Here is a 13,670-nt window from a genome sequence, read left to right as displayed (position 1 = left end):
TGTTTTTCCATGCGACCGCCCACCTCGCTGACATTCTCATCCCTTGTCTTTACCCTAACCGCACCTATCTGTGTGGCTCTCTCTCATTTCCAACATTCTGGCTCCCTGTCTCACCCTGCCCCAGTTTTGGTCTCCAACTGATCTGGAGTTTTCCTGTCTCCCCATCTGAGTCTCTTGCTCTTGGCCTCCTCCTCCCTGTCTAATTCTATTTCGATGTTTTTGTCTCGAGTTCCTCCCTGCCTCCACATTTTTCTCCTTGTCTGTGTCTCCCTGTCACCTCCTCCTGTCTCGATTATGTCCTTCTGCCTTGTGCTTTTGTCTCTATTTCCTTTTTTTTATGAGACGGAGTCTCAGTCTGTTACCCAGGCTGGAGTGCAGTGGGGCGATCTTGGCTCACTGCAGTCCTCCTGGGTTCAAGTGATTCTCCTGCCTCAGCCTCCCAAGTAGCTGGAATGACAGGTGCCTGCCTCCAGGCCCAGGTAATTTTTATATTTTTAGTAGAGACGGGGTTACACCATGTTGGCCAGGCTGATCTCGAACTCATGACCTCAAGTGATCTGCCTGCCTTGGCCTCCCAAAGTGTTGGGATTACAGGCGTGAGCCACCACGCCAGGCTGTCTCTATTTCTTGTTCTCGGTTTCTCCCGGATTCTGTTTTGACTCTGTCTTTTTCCCTCTGACCGGGTTTGTCTTTGTGGCTCTGATCTCTTGGCCTTGACCTGTCCCCCATCACCTTGGTACCAGGTTCACTGGTGTATTTGCGGGATGTAGTCTGGATGCGGGGAGAGGGAAGGAGCAAGGGGTGGGAACCCAGCCCCTTCCCTCTGTTAGGGAGGCTGTAGTGTAGACTCTGGCCTCGGAGTTAAGGTGATGGCGGCATTAGGGTCACATGTGAGTCCTGGGGGATTGGGGAAAGGGAGAGAGAGGATAAGGTTTTAGCTTCTTCCCAATAAGTCCTGCTGGGAGACTTGGTGGTGCTTGAAGTGATCCTGAGACACCTGCCACAGGGTGGGTGGGTGCTGCATGAACCAAGGCAGCGGGGGGAAGGTGAGAGCTGGACTTTCTGGGTCTGAGGGAGGAAGGGCTGGTGACTGGGGGCAGGACTTCTGGGTCTGAGGGAGGAGGGGGCTGGGCCTGAACTCCTGGATCTGAGGGAGGAGGGGCTGGGGGCCTGGACTCCTGGGCCTTAGGGAGGAAAGACCAGGGCCTAGACTCCTGGGTCTGAGGGAGGAGGGGCTGGGGGCCTGGACTCCTGGGTCTCAGGGAGGAGGGGCTGGGGGCCTGGACTCCCGGGTGTGAGGGAGGAGGGGCTGAAGCCTGGACTCCCGGGTCTGAGGGAGGAGGGGCTGGGGGCCTGGACTCCCGGGTCTGAGGGAGGAGGGGCTGGGGGCCTGGACTCCCGGGTCTGAGGGAGGAGGGGCTGGGGGCCTGGACTCCCGGGTCTGAGGGAGGAGGGGCTGGGGGCCTGGACTCCCGGGTCTGAGGGAGGAGGGGCTGGGGGCCTGGACTCCCGGGTCTGAGGGAGGAGGGGATGGGGGCCTGGACTCCCGGGTCTGAGGGAGGAGGGGATGGGGGCCTGGACTCCCGGGTCTGAGGGAGGAGGGGATGGGGGTCTGGACTCCTGGGTCTCAAGGAGGAGGAGATGGGGGCCTGGACTCCTGGGTCTGAGGGAGGAGGGGATGGGGGCCTGGACTCCTGGGTCTGAGGGAGGAGGGGATGGGGGTCTGGACTCCTGGGTCTCAGGGAGGAGGAGATGGGGGCCTGGACTCCTGGGTCTGAGGGAGGAGGGGATGGGGGCCTGGACTCCTGGGTCTGAGGGAGGAAGGGCTGGGGCCTGGACTTCTGGGTCTGAGGGAGGAGGGGCCGGGGTCCCCAACTCCTGGGTCTGAGGGAAGAAGGGGCTGGGCCTGGACTCCTGGGTCTGAGGGAGGAGTGGTTAGTTATCTAGGGCTGACATAACAAAGTACCTCAAAATTAGTGGCTTAAATCACAAAAACTGAAGGTCTCCCAGTGCTGGAGGTCAGAAGTCTGAGATGAGGGTGTCAGCCCTGGCTGCTCCTGAGGCTGTGAGGGAGGATGAGTCCCCGGTCTCTGGCTTCTGAGGGTGTGCCGGCAGCTTTGGTTTTCCTCGGTTTGTAGAGGCGTCACCCCAATCTCTGCCTTCACCTCCACATGGTGTCATTTCTGTGTGTCTGGGTCTCTGTACAAACTTTTATAAGACACACATCCTATTGGATTAGGGCCCACATGAATGACCTCATCTGAACTAATTATATCTGCAATGACCTTATTTCCTAATCAGATCACATTCTGAGATGCTGGGGGTTAGGATTTTAATATAAAGTTTTTTGTGGGGGTGGGGGAGACACAATTTGATCCGTGCTGAGTCCATTTTGTGTTGCTCTGACAGAAGACCTGAGGCTGGGTCTTTATAAAGGAAGAGGTTGATTTGGCTCAGATTCTGATGGCTGGAAGGTTCAAGACTGGGCAGGTGCACTCACTGAGGACCTCCCTCATCCCTGAGGCTGCTGCTGCTTCTGGGGGAGGGCAGAAGGATGCAGCTGTGTGCACAGAGATCACATGGTGCTGAAGGAAGCAAGGGAGAGAAAACCAAATTCCCAAATTCCCAAGGGTGAGCACTCACTCACCCCTTAAGGCAGGCATTAATCTATCCATGAGGACTCCACCTCCAAGACCACACAGCTCCTTATGAGGCCCCACATCCCAACACCTGCCACACTGGGGCTCGAATCTCAACATGAATTTTAGTGAGGACAAACGATATCCAAACCATTGCCACCCAAAAGAAGTGGGCTGAGGCCTGGCGCGGTGGCTCACACCTGTAATCCCAGCACTTTGGGAGGCTGAGACAGATGGATCGCCTGAGGTCAGGAGTTCGAGACCAGCTTGGCCAATATGGTGAAACCCCGTCTCTACTAAAAATACAAAAATTAGCTGGGTACGGTGGCTCACATCTGTAATCCCAGCTACTCGGGAAGCTGAGGCAGGGGAATCGCTTGCACCTGGGAGGTGGAGGTTGCAGTAAGCCGAGATGGCGCCATTGCACTCCAGTCTAGGGCACAAAGTGAGACTCCCTCTCAAAAACAAAACAAAACAAAACAAAAAACAAAAAAAAAAACCTACAAAAAAAATCAGAAGCGTGCTGGGAGCTTGGGGGTCCTGGGCGAGGAGGGAGCCGGACGCAAAATCCTCAGGTCCTGGGGGAAGATGGACTGTGGGCAATGCTGAAGGTCAGTGTGACGTGATGCAGCCTGGCTGGAATGTTCCACAGGCATCTCCAGCTTAATTTGGTCAAAACGGAATGCCTGATTTCCCCTTAAATACTCCCTTTCGACCACCTCAGTCATGGCACCGTCATTCACCAGCTGCGGCGGCTCTCAGCAAGTCCTTTTGGCTCCTCTTTCAAGACTCCTAGCGTGGCCCAACGTTCTCCACCTCCACAGCCACGCCATCCTGCACCGCACAGCTTCCTCTCACCTCCCCGCTCGCCTCCAAATTATTCTCCCTGAAGCAGCCAGGGGCCCCTCCTGCAACCTCAATCCAAACACGTCAGGCCCCTGCCTCCTGCCCTTGCACGGCTTCCATCTGCTAAGAATCCAGCCAGAGGCCCTCCTGGGGCGGCCCAGGCCCCACGCGACCGGCCGCCTGCCTCTGCCCTCCCCTCCCGCCGCACTCCCCTCTTCGCCACCAGCGGGCTCCGCGCCTCTTCCTGCCTCTGCCTGCCACGGAGCCGGCCGCCCTGCATGCAGTTCATCCGGGGAGGCGGCAGGAAAGGGTGACATAGTGGCGGGACCCGCTGTTTACCCTGGGACCTCATCTCCCACGACCTTCTTGGGTCGATGACTCCGTTTCCCTGGCACCTGTGGGAAAGAGAAGTGGGGAATTCTATTTTCTCATTTGGAACTCCATTTCCCACCAGCCCCCGGGGCCGCGGCGGTCAAAGCCTCCTCTACCCTCCACAAAAGTACGGGATCTGACTAAGAAAAAGAAGACAAACGCCGCCACGGAGTCTCGGGAAACTGCGACGCCCGGAAAAACCTCGGGTCTGGGTCACCGTGGCTTTGGCGCCGCACAGCCTGCCGATAACTGTAGTCCACCTTCCCGCGGAGGGGCGCAGGGTACCCCCACCGCGGGGGCCTTCAGGCCGGCAGGTGCCTGTGGCCAAGGGCGGGACAGGGATCAAAGCCCGAAATTCCGAAGCGCCGCATCCCATCGGAGAGCTCAAAAGCGAACACAGCGGGCAGGAGGGACTACAACTCGCGGCACGCCTCGGGGCCACAGGCGCCTCTCCCACCCGCGTCCCGGTCCCTGCTGGGACTTGTAGTTTGTTAACTAAAGAGCGCCTCAGCTTCAAAGGCGGGCATGGGAGAGTGACATGGGACCTCCCAATCCGCCATCGCACCCTGCTCGGGATCCACGAGCCCTTGTTCTTTGGGGACACCACACATACCCCAACTGGAGGGCAAAAGGTCACAGACCTTAGCCCAGGATTCAGGGGTACCCCACATGCCAAGACTTCACCTTCATAGAGGCGATCCTCGAATTTCTTTGGCTGTCAAGAATCCCAGGAAAGACGTTCAGAACGCAGGTCCTCAGCCCTATCCTTGACACAAAATGTCCTCCAAAGGAGGCTGATCCTTTGAGAACAGACAAGCCTGGCTCTGGCACTGGCCCACAGTCCTGCCCTCTTAGCCCGATCTAAGGCTGCCCAGCCCTTCAGGACATCCCATCAGCAAGGCCCTTGCAGGACATGGGCCACCTCCCCACTCATCCTTCCCTGACCCTCCCTGAGGTGGTCGCATGTTCTTCCAGCTCCAGGTTGTCCTCAAAGCCCTGGCCCAGCTCACAACCTCACCAGCTTCATCTCCTGCCCCTCAAAGACCTCAAGCCCCATGAAAGCAACGATGGGAACTAGCTGATGGCTGTAGCGTAACTGGCTGATGGCTGTCAAGTAACTTCTAGAATGAATGCTAGACCTTGACCCTGAATCCCTGCATTCTAAACTCTGTCCCCGGCCAATTCCAACTCCAGACTCCCACCATATTAACCTTCTCCCTTTACTCCACTCCTGCTGGGCTCGGGGTGAAACCAGAACAGACCCACCGGGACAGCCCAGGCAGCACCCAGAGACAGGCGGGTCCAGGCCCCTGTCCAGGGAAACAGGCTGGCTCCACGGAGCACCTCGACTCTGTCAACCCCAAGAAATGAGGGGGTCAGCAGGCCAAGTGGTTAAATAATTAATAAGATTACCAACAGCGTGTTAATTACAAAGAACAGTGAGGAGCTAGAGGTGGTGAATTTTCCAAACAGGGAACCAGGATCCACAGCCCCAAGGCCCAGGGGTCCGGCCACCCAGGCGGGGCAGCTCCGTAATAAATAATGGAGTTGGGGGCAGGGGGTCAGGGCTGCTCCTGCTTCTTCTTGACTGAAATCCGCTTCTTTCTCGCTGCCAGCATCTCATAGAAGGGGTCCACACTCACAGCCGCCCTGCAGAAGGGGAGGGGTCCCAGGATGAGGGCCAAGGAGTCCAGGCCTCCAGCCCCTCCTCCCTCATACCCAGGAGGAGTCTCAGACCCCCGGCCCCTCCTCCCTCAGACCCAGGAGTCCAGGCCCCCGGCCCCTCCTCCCTCAGACCCAGCAGTCCAGGCCCCCGGCCCCTCCTCCCTCAGACCCAGGAGTCCAGGCCCCCGGCCCCTCCTCCCTCACACCCAGGAGTCCAGGCCCCCGGCCCCTCCTCCGTCAGACCCAGGAGTCCAGGCCCCCGGCCCCTCCTCCGTCAGACCCAGGGGTCCAGGCCCCCGGCCCCTCCTCCGTCAGACCCAGGTGTCCAGGCCCCTGCCCCTCCTCCGTCAGACCCAGGAGTCCAGGCCCCAGCCCCTCCTCCGTCAGACCCAGGCGTCCAGGCCCCAGCCCCTCCTCCATCAGACCCAGGCATCCAGGCCCCTGCCCCTCCTCCATCAGACCCAGGAGTCCAGGCCCCAGCCCCTCCTCCATCAGGCCCAGGAGTCCAGGCTCACTGGATGGACTTGATCCACTCGTCCTTCTCCTCCTGCGTGGGGGCCGAGATCCGGTACACCATGTGGTTTCCCTCCACCACTCGGCCGTCCGCCTCAGTTTTGCAGGCTTTGATGAGCTGCCCCTTGTTGTTGGGGATGTAAAGTTCAAAGCAGTTCTGGGGACGAGAGAGGAAGGGCGCAGGTAAGAACCAGCCCTGGGCAGAGGAGGCCCCGCCCTGGCAGGAAGGTGTACAGAGAGGGTCTTACCGGTTTCCGGGGGTCGTCCACCTCTCGGATGCTCAGATTCTCCAGGGGGATGATTCCTCGGGGCTCCTTGTCCTGAAGAAGCAAGGTGGACAGAACTCAGACTTCCAAGTCCTCACCCCACCCCACCTCCCTCAGCCCCAGGAGTCCAGGCTCCCAGCCACTCCGCCCAGGACCCCAGAGCCCGGGTCGGGTCACGCTCACCGTGGTGTACTCAAAGTAGTAGAGGCAGTTGTCTGTGAGGATAAACCAGCGCCGCTTCCACGTCTTCACCCGGCCCCCTGAAAGGGAAGGGGTGGGAGGGGGCCTGGGCTCAACAGGGGGACAGGGCCTCTGGGAGATGGGAGGGGCGTGAGAAGCAGAGCAAGAGCGGTAGAGGTGGGGCTCCTGGGGCCTAGACAAAGCCGCTGCGTTGGGGGAGACAGACAAGCAGGGCCAGGCATGTTGGGGCTCCAGGAATCGTCCACCCCCAGCTTGGGGCTCCACATTTTCTGAGTCTGTCAGTCCCAGCCCAGGAGCCTGAGCCCCCAGCCCCCTCCTCCTGTGGGCAGGAGGCCAGGGCGCCAGGGCGCCAGGGCAGCCCCCTCCCCTCGTCTAGTGATGGGAGACAAAGACAGGTCGTGTACCTACCTCCTGGGGCAGACAGCGAGAAAGCAGGCAGGACCAGGTGCAGGAGAAGGGAAGGCGGGAGAATGGAGCACCCCCAAGAGCCGCAGGCGACAGAAACAGGGTGGGCACAGGGAGGGGTGCGCAGGGGCAGGACAGAGAGGCAAACACAGGAGAGAGGGAAAGACGCAGAGAGGAGGGGAGGGAGAGAGAGGGAAGAAAACCAGTTACATCCACGAGGGTGGGGATGGCCGGGGCTCCTCCCTCCCAGAGAGGCCAAGGGCCATGAGCCCCGGGTGGCAGCCTTGAAAACCCCTTGCTTCGGTACAGGGCCCCAGCCTACCCCCTAGGGTCTGTCCTAGGCCAGGAGCATCCTCCCTTGACATGGTAAAAGTGCCTCTGCCCTGGAGGAGGCCCCCACAGGACAGAAGGCAAAACCCCCAGCCCTTGGTCTGAGGTGGGTGTGAGGGCCCATCTCAGCTCCTGCACAAACTGGCTGTGTGACCTCAGGGCACTCTCTTGGACTCTCTGGACTCCAGCCTGGAGACTCACTCGGGCCTACACCTTCCTGTGGCAAAATGACCTGCTGCTGGCTTCCTTGTGGGCCCAGGGTTAAACAATGACAGTAAGAATGGCTTTTATTAGGCATGGAGTAGCAACCACCATCACCAATCTCCACTCCTGTATTTCCATCTTTTAAGGAAGGGGTCCCTCTAACTGGCACAAAGGGAACAGAGGCCCTTTGGTCAGAGATGTCCCTGGGGCTGGGCAGCCTTAGGTGGGGCTCAGAACCAAACTGAGGCGTGAGCCTCTGGGAAATGGGAAAGTTACTGCTCACAGGAGCAGTTTTTGTTTTGTTTTGTTTTTTTGAGACTGTCTCGCTCTGTCGTCCAGGCTGGATTTGCAATGGTGTGATCTCGGCTCACTGCAAGCTCCACCTCCTGGGTTCAAGCAATTCTTGTGCCTCAGCCTCCCAAGTAGCTGGGATTACAGGTGCCTGCCACCACGCCCGGCTAATTTTTGTATTTTTAGTAGAGACGGGGTTTCACCATGTTGGCCAGGCTGGTCTCAAACTCCTGACCTCAAGTGATCTGCCTGCCTCAGCCTCCCAAAGTGCTGGGATTACAGGCCTGAGCCACCGTGCCTGGCCTGACAGCAGTTTTGAGGGAAGCAGTTCCTCGTGATGCTGGCGCCTTCCTGCTTCTCTTTCTGGCCCGCTCACTGCCAGGGGCACCTCGAGGACTCTCAATTTCCCCCAGCAGTCTGCCTCCCTTGGATCGAATGCAGGGATCTGGACTGGGGTGTTGGCTGGACAGTGATTTGCATGTTTTATTTTATAGAGACGGGGTCTCGCTCTGTTGCCCAGGCTGGACTGCAGTGGCGCAACCATGACTCACTGAAGCCTCGACCACTTGAGCTCAAACAATCCTCCCACATCACCATGCCTGGCTAATTTTTTTATTTTTTGTAGAGATGGGGGGTATCATTATATTGCCCAGGTTGGTCTCAAACTCCTGACCTCTAACAATCCTCCTGCCTTGTCCTCCCAAAGTGCTGAAATTACAGGGGTGGGCCCCTGTGCCCTGCCTGACTTGTGTATTTTACATTTACCAGGAAACCCTGGCATCTGTTGAGGTGGTGATGCCCTGGTTTAAGAGCACAGTTCCACATGGGGAGGCCCCCAAGACTCAGAGGCCAAAGCTGCCCTGTCCAACCTCCTTCCAAGAAGCCTGACCTTGACTCCCTTCACTGAGCTGAAAGCTTCCTGTGGGCTCTCCTGCTGCCGCGGGAAGCCTCCACTGCTGTGCTGGACTGTAACTGCCCAGATGTGTCTCTCTGGAGCAGCTGTGCACCGTGTCTCCATTATAAACCACATCTAACACGCAGGTGGCACCTACTGTTACCAGGCACGGCTCCAGGCCAGTAGCTCTCAACCTTGACTATGCATTGGGAGCACCCGAGGAGCTTAAACGATGACTGATGGCCCTTCTGCTCCTGAGAGCCTGACTTCAGGAGTCTATGGCCCAGCCACCGGAGTTTTCGAGTTGCCCAGGCAAATCTCATGTACAGCCAGGGCTGAGAACCACTCTAGTCCTTGTGCTAACCCCTCATCATGCTACGATCCTGTCTGATCCATGCTAACCGACCTTGAATGTGCCAGTGCCACGTGTTATGACGAAGACTCCCCCCTCCATCTCTGCTGGGTTTCCCGACTCATCTGCACCAGCCCTGGCTATTCCCTCCACAGCTGGAAGCCAGAATCTGGGACAGGTTTCCTGGCCTGTTTGGCTCTTTTCTGCCTGTGGGTGGTGTTTCGGGAAGGATGGCACCTGGATCAGCCAAGTGCTCTGGGCCTGATGCCTCGGAGTGCGGGGTCAGTCCTGCCTGGAACCCTGGGAGTTCTTGCCAAGGGGAATAGATTCCAGGGGTTTGGCTCCCTCGGGCTGGGTTAACGCAGTGGAAAGAAGCCTGAGTGAACTCTTCTCCCACGAAAGGACAATGTCAGCTGCCTCTCACTGCCTCCTCAGCCCAGCTCAGGGCCTGGCACAGAAGGGCTCCATCAACATTTGTGGGTCAAGAGAAGGGGTTGGGAAGTACTTACTACAGGCCAGGCCCAGCACACAGGCCTGATTTTATTTTCAGCCCCATTTTTTGGGTGTGGAAAACTGAGGTTCAGAGAGGTCGAATCATTTGCCTCAGTTCAGGCAGCAGGTGTGTGCGGAAGCTGAGTCCAGGGCCCAGGCCCACAAATGTCCTCCTGCGGAGGGACCAGCGGGGTCGGGAGGGCACGTACCCAGCTTCAGGAGCCAGCCCTCCCGGTCCGGGTTGAAGAAGGTGTGGGTCAGGTCATTCCCGTCATCCTCAGGAATCTTGAAGGGCTCATTTCGGATGCTGTCGTACAGGTTCTGAGGAGTAAAGGCTGCATTAGCCATTCGAGCCCCCTGGGGCCCCCCAGGGTTACTCAGGGTGGGGGGCAGCGAGACCAGGGATGGGATGACTCATAGTGGGGAAGAGAGAGGGGTAGTGGGGAGGAGAGGGAAGTGAAAGGCAGAGAAGTGGAGGGAGGCTGAGGTGGCGGAGGAAAGAAGAGATGCCCTGGTGATAGGTGGAGGAGCCGGCTACGTCCTCAGAGAAACAGACAGATGGGGAATGAGGCCAATCGAGGGCCGGAAAGCCCAACAGCCAGAGACAGAGAAGACAGACAGGCCAAAATTGTCAGGGCCAAAGCCTGAGAGAGACAGTCAAGAAGAGAAGCACCCAGAGAGAGAGAAAAAGATCACACACGAGTTGGCATGATCGCACCATCTTGGGGGTGAGGGCAGACAGCTTGGGCACTAGGAGACCACAGGTGGGGCGGGGGTGTCTGTGGCAGGAAGAGGGGCAGGGCTGAGGGGCAGGGAAGGGGGACTGACCCTGAGCAGCTCCTCAGGCAGGTCCCCGCCCTCGTTGATGCCCCGGTTCATGGCCACAAAGCGCTCCAGGCCCGGCTTGTCCCGGACATTGGGATTGTGGAGACTGGTGTTGAGCATGATGACGGCGAAGGACAGCACATAGCACGTGTCTGCACCGGACAGGGCAGGTGGTGACGACCCAGGCATGTCAGTCCCCAGTGCCCCCATTCCCCAGGACCCAGGATTCCCAGCTCCCAGCCCCCTCCCTCCCTCAGACCTAGGAGTCTGGGCCCCAGTCTCCTCTTTCCCAGGACCCAGGATTTGGGGCCCGCACCTGTGGACTGGAAAACCCCAGGGTTGCACAGGCAGTATCGCTGGGCGAAGGCCTCCATCATCCGGTCAATTTTCTGGGCCTCTCCGGGTAGGCGAAAGCTCCATAGAAACTGCCTGGGTTGGGGAGGGGCCAGGAATGGATGCCAGGGCTGGTGGGAGCCTGTCCCCACTCTCAGTCCCTGTGTTAGGAACTGGTCCACGAGGAATCCCGACCTTCCGGCCTCAGCAGTTGTTTCAGGTATGGTCACATGATCCAGTCTCACCAATGGGCATTGGCCACGGGAGTGTTGTGAATCCCTACAGAAATAGCCTCTTTCTGCTAAGTTCGCTAGACAGGTCTGGGGGTTGGTTGAGGCTTGTTATCAGGTAAGCGGGTCTGCAGAGAGCAATGCTGACACAGTGGCAAATACAAGAGGCAAAGAAAGTCGACTTTCTGACCACCATTTGAGCTCCTGGATATAGCCATACCTGAAGGAGGCCATAACCCTGAACTTTTATGGTGCAGGACACACTCAGTTCCCTAGTTTTTGTTTCTGTTTTGCTTGTTTCTGTTTTTTTCTTGAGTAAGGTTTGTCACTTGTAACTAGGAAGGCCCTGACAGGTACATTCCTGGCGTTCCAAACCCCTCCCCCTCACTCACCTGAGGGCCTGCACCAGATTGAGGTCGGTGAACTCATGCAGATCCACAAAAGCATGGAGCACTGCCAGGTTCAGTTCTTCCCTGGAAGGATGGGACAAAGACACATACAGTTTGGAAAGGATGGGGCAGGAATGGGCAAAGGGCAATGCCCTGGGGAAGTCGTGCCCCCTCTACTGCACCACAGCTGCCCACTGCCGAGGGTGAAGTTTCCTGCTGGACTCCCACACAGGCCTGCCCCCAGGGTGGGGGATGCTCAGAACACACTCTTGGGAGGAATATCTGGCTTGGGAACCCTGCTTAGGCCAGACCTTTGTACAGTTGGGAGAAATGCCGCAAACATGTATGCTACCTACTGTCACCTCTCTCAAATGATCCCCATGCTCCCCAGGTATCCAGACACAGCCCCCACATCCCCCAGACATCCAGAGATGCTTCCCAAGCACCCCAGATCTCTATAAATCCCTGATTCCCAGACGTCCACAGATGGCCTCCAATCATCTGATGTCCAGTCCTGTGCACCCTAGGCTTCCAAATGACCCCCACAACTCCTAAGCTCCCACAAGGGCCCAGCGGTCCCCACAGCTCCCAGATGGCCACCCAGTGCCTATGCACAGCCATGGTCTACCCACGGTTCTCAAGCTCCCATGATCCTTGAGAGATGTTCTCTACCCTTCTCAGACATAAATGGATGCTTCCCCACAACTGCCAGGTAATTCCAGAAGGCCCCACATCCCCAGATGCTCTCGGTTGGCCGCAGGCTCCCCTAGCCCATGTCAGTCCATTCTGTCACAGTCCAGTCAGAAGGCTGATCTGCCAGGGCCCCTCTGCGGGGAGGCTGCAGGGCTGTTCCACCTGTGAGCTGCCAGTGTGAGGGCAGGAGCTGGGTCTGGGGGGTGGGAGGGAGGGGCCCCACAGGAGCTGAGTGGTGACCGTACCTCTCCCCCAGGTAGTCCCCGATGGCTGTCTTGTTCAGCCCCTCGCCCTTGTACAGGAAGCGGGCGATCTCCTCGGGTGTGTTCTGCAGCAGTTCATTCTCCACCAAGAACTGGATCCCCTGGTGGGTGGGGACAAGGTCTCAGTGCTGAGGGCCAGAAAGCCACCCCACTCACCTCCCTGGGAACCTCAGCATCCAGACCTACCCCCACCCTCAACAGACCAGGGCCAGGTTTCATTTTCAGCCTTCTCACAGGTCTTAAATAGCATTCTTCCCAACTCATGGCCTTTGCACTTCATGGCCTACCCTCTCTGCCTTTGCCTGGTTAATTCCAGCACCAACAACAGGGTCTGGCAAGGCACAGGTGCTCAGTACATTTTCTCTTTTTTCTGAGACCTGGTCTCGCTCTATTGCAGACTGGAGTGCAGTGGCGTGATCACAGCTCATTGCAGCTTCGAACTGCTGGGCTCAAGGGATCCTCTCACTTCGGCCTCCTCAGAAGCTGGGACTATAGGCATGCCCCAACACACCTGGCTAATTTATTTATTTATATTTTTTCTAGAGATGAGTTATCACTATGCTGCCCAGGCTGGTCTCAAATTCCTGGCTTCAAGCAATCCTCCCTCCTCGGCCTCTCAAAGCACTGGGATTACAGGCATAAGCCACCGAACCCAGCCAATCAATGTTTGTTGAATGACTGAACAGAATTCCAATTGCTTCAGGAAAGAATAACGTGACAACCTGTTAGCAGACGCAGTCCTTCAAGGGCTGTGAACTCGAAGCCCTGGCTAGACTGGAGGTTTCTCTCACTCTCTGTGCTACGAAGACCTCTCTACTACTGCTTTATCTCACTGTGAACTGTGGTATCGGTGTCCAAGGGCTCTCTGAGCACAAGGCAGCATCTAATTCTTCTTTGGGTCCCCAGCATTGCCCTACACAGGATCAGACTCTTGAGAGGCCTCAGAAAATGGGTGTTAAATGAGTATGTGAACAGGCCAGGCACGGTGGCTCATGCCTGTAATCCCAACACTTTGGGAGGCTGAGGCGGGCGGATCACCTGACGTCAGGAGTTTGGAAGCAGCCTGGCCAACATGGTGAAACCCCATCTGTACTAAAAATACAAAAATTAGCTGGGCATGGTGGTGGGAGCCTGTAAGCCCAGCTACTTGGGAGGCTGAGGCAGGAGAATCGCAGGAGGCGGAGGTTAGTGAGCCGAGATCACATCGCTGCACTCCAGCCTGGGTGATAGAGCAAGACTCTGTCTCACACACACACACAAAGAGTAGGTGAACAAAAGCCTTTCCTCCACCTGGTGAACACCTACTCATCCTTCAAACCCGACCTGAATGTCTCCTCCTCAAGGAAGCCCTCCCTGACTCCACCAGCCTGCCTCCTCCAGAGGTCCACTACCCTGATACCTTCCTCCGTCACGGCACCTTTGTGGGAGAGAGGTCAACTCTCCTTTGTGCATGTCACTTTGTCCAC

General features: G+C 57.7%; 1 protein-coding gene across 5 annotated transcripts in view, besides 1 other annotated feature; it reads right to left on the bottom strand.

Moving 5' to 3' along the window:
• Positions 1–2,315: 2,315 nt before the first annotated feature.
• CYTH2 (cytohesin 2) overlaps positions 2,316–13,670 on the bottom strand; it is a 12,946-nt gene continuing 1,591 nt past the window's right edge. For 2 of the 5 annotated variants that reach the window (XM_047439683.1, XM_047439682.1), the window contains exons 4-13: positions 12,187–12,305; positions 11,252–11,332; positions 10,613–10,725; positions 10,300–10,448; positions 9,681–9,792; positions 6,485–6,561; positions 6,284–6,355; positions 6,038–6,192; positions 4,542–5,507; positions 2,316–3,880 (exon numbers count right to left, since the gene is read on the bottom strand). In XM_047439683.1, coding sequence (XP_047295639.1) covers positions 5,420–5,507; positions 6,038–6,192; positions 6,284–6,355; positions 6,485–6,561; positions 9,681–9,792; positions 10,300–10,448; positions 10,613–10,725; positions 11,252–11,332; positions 12,187–12,305 — 966 coding nt within the window. In that variant the 3' untranslated portion in view covers positions 2,316–3,880; positions 4,542–5,419. Of the gene's footprint in view, positions 5,508–6,037; positions 6,193–6,283; positions 6,356–6,484; positions 6,562–6,910; positions 6,914–9,680; positions 9,793–10,299; positions 10,449–10,612; positions 10,726–11,251; positions 11,333–12,186; positions 12,306–13,670 lie in introns of all 5 variants that reach the window. The other 3 variants (NM_004228.7, XM_006723472.3, NM_017457.6) reach the window with 2 other exon arrangements.
• Positions 10,811–11,011: a silencer, noted in NCBI's record as "peak3539 fragment used in MPRA reporter construct". NCBI's record gives its function as "represses an SCP1 promoter by STARR-seq MPRAs in K562 erythroleukemia cells {active_cell/tissue: K562}" and the evidence as "EXISTENCE:reporter gene assay evidence [ECO:0000049][PMID:32103011]".

The sequence above is a fragment of the Homo sapiens genome, chromosome 19, assembly GCF_000001405.40.
Source record: "Homo sapiens chromosome 19, GRCh38.p14 Primary Assembly".
Taxonomy (NCBI): domain Eukaryota; kingdom Metazoa; phylum Chordata; class Mammalia; order Primates; family Hominidae; genus Homo; species Homo sapiens.
This window is presented reverse-complemented; position numbering and strand designations above follow the sequence as displayed.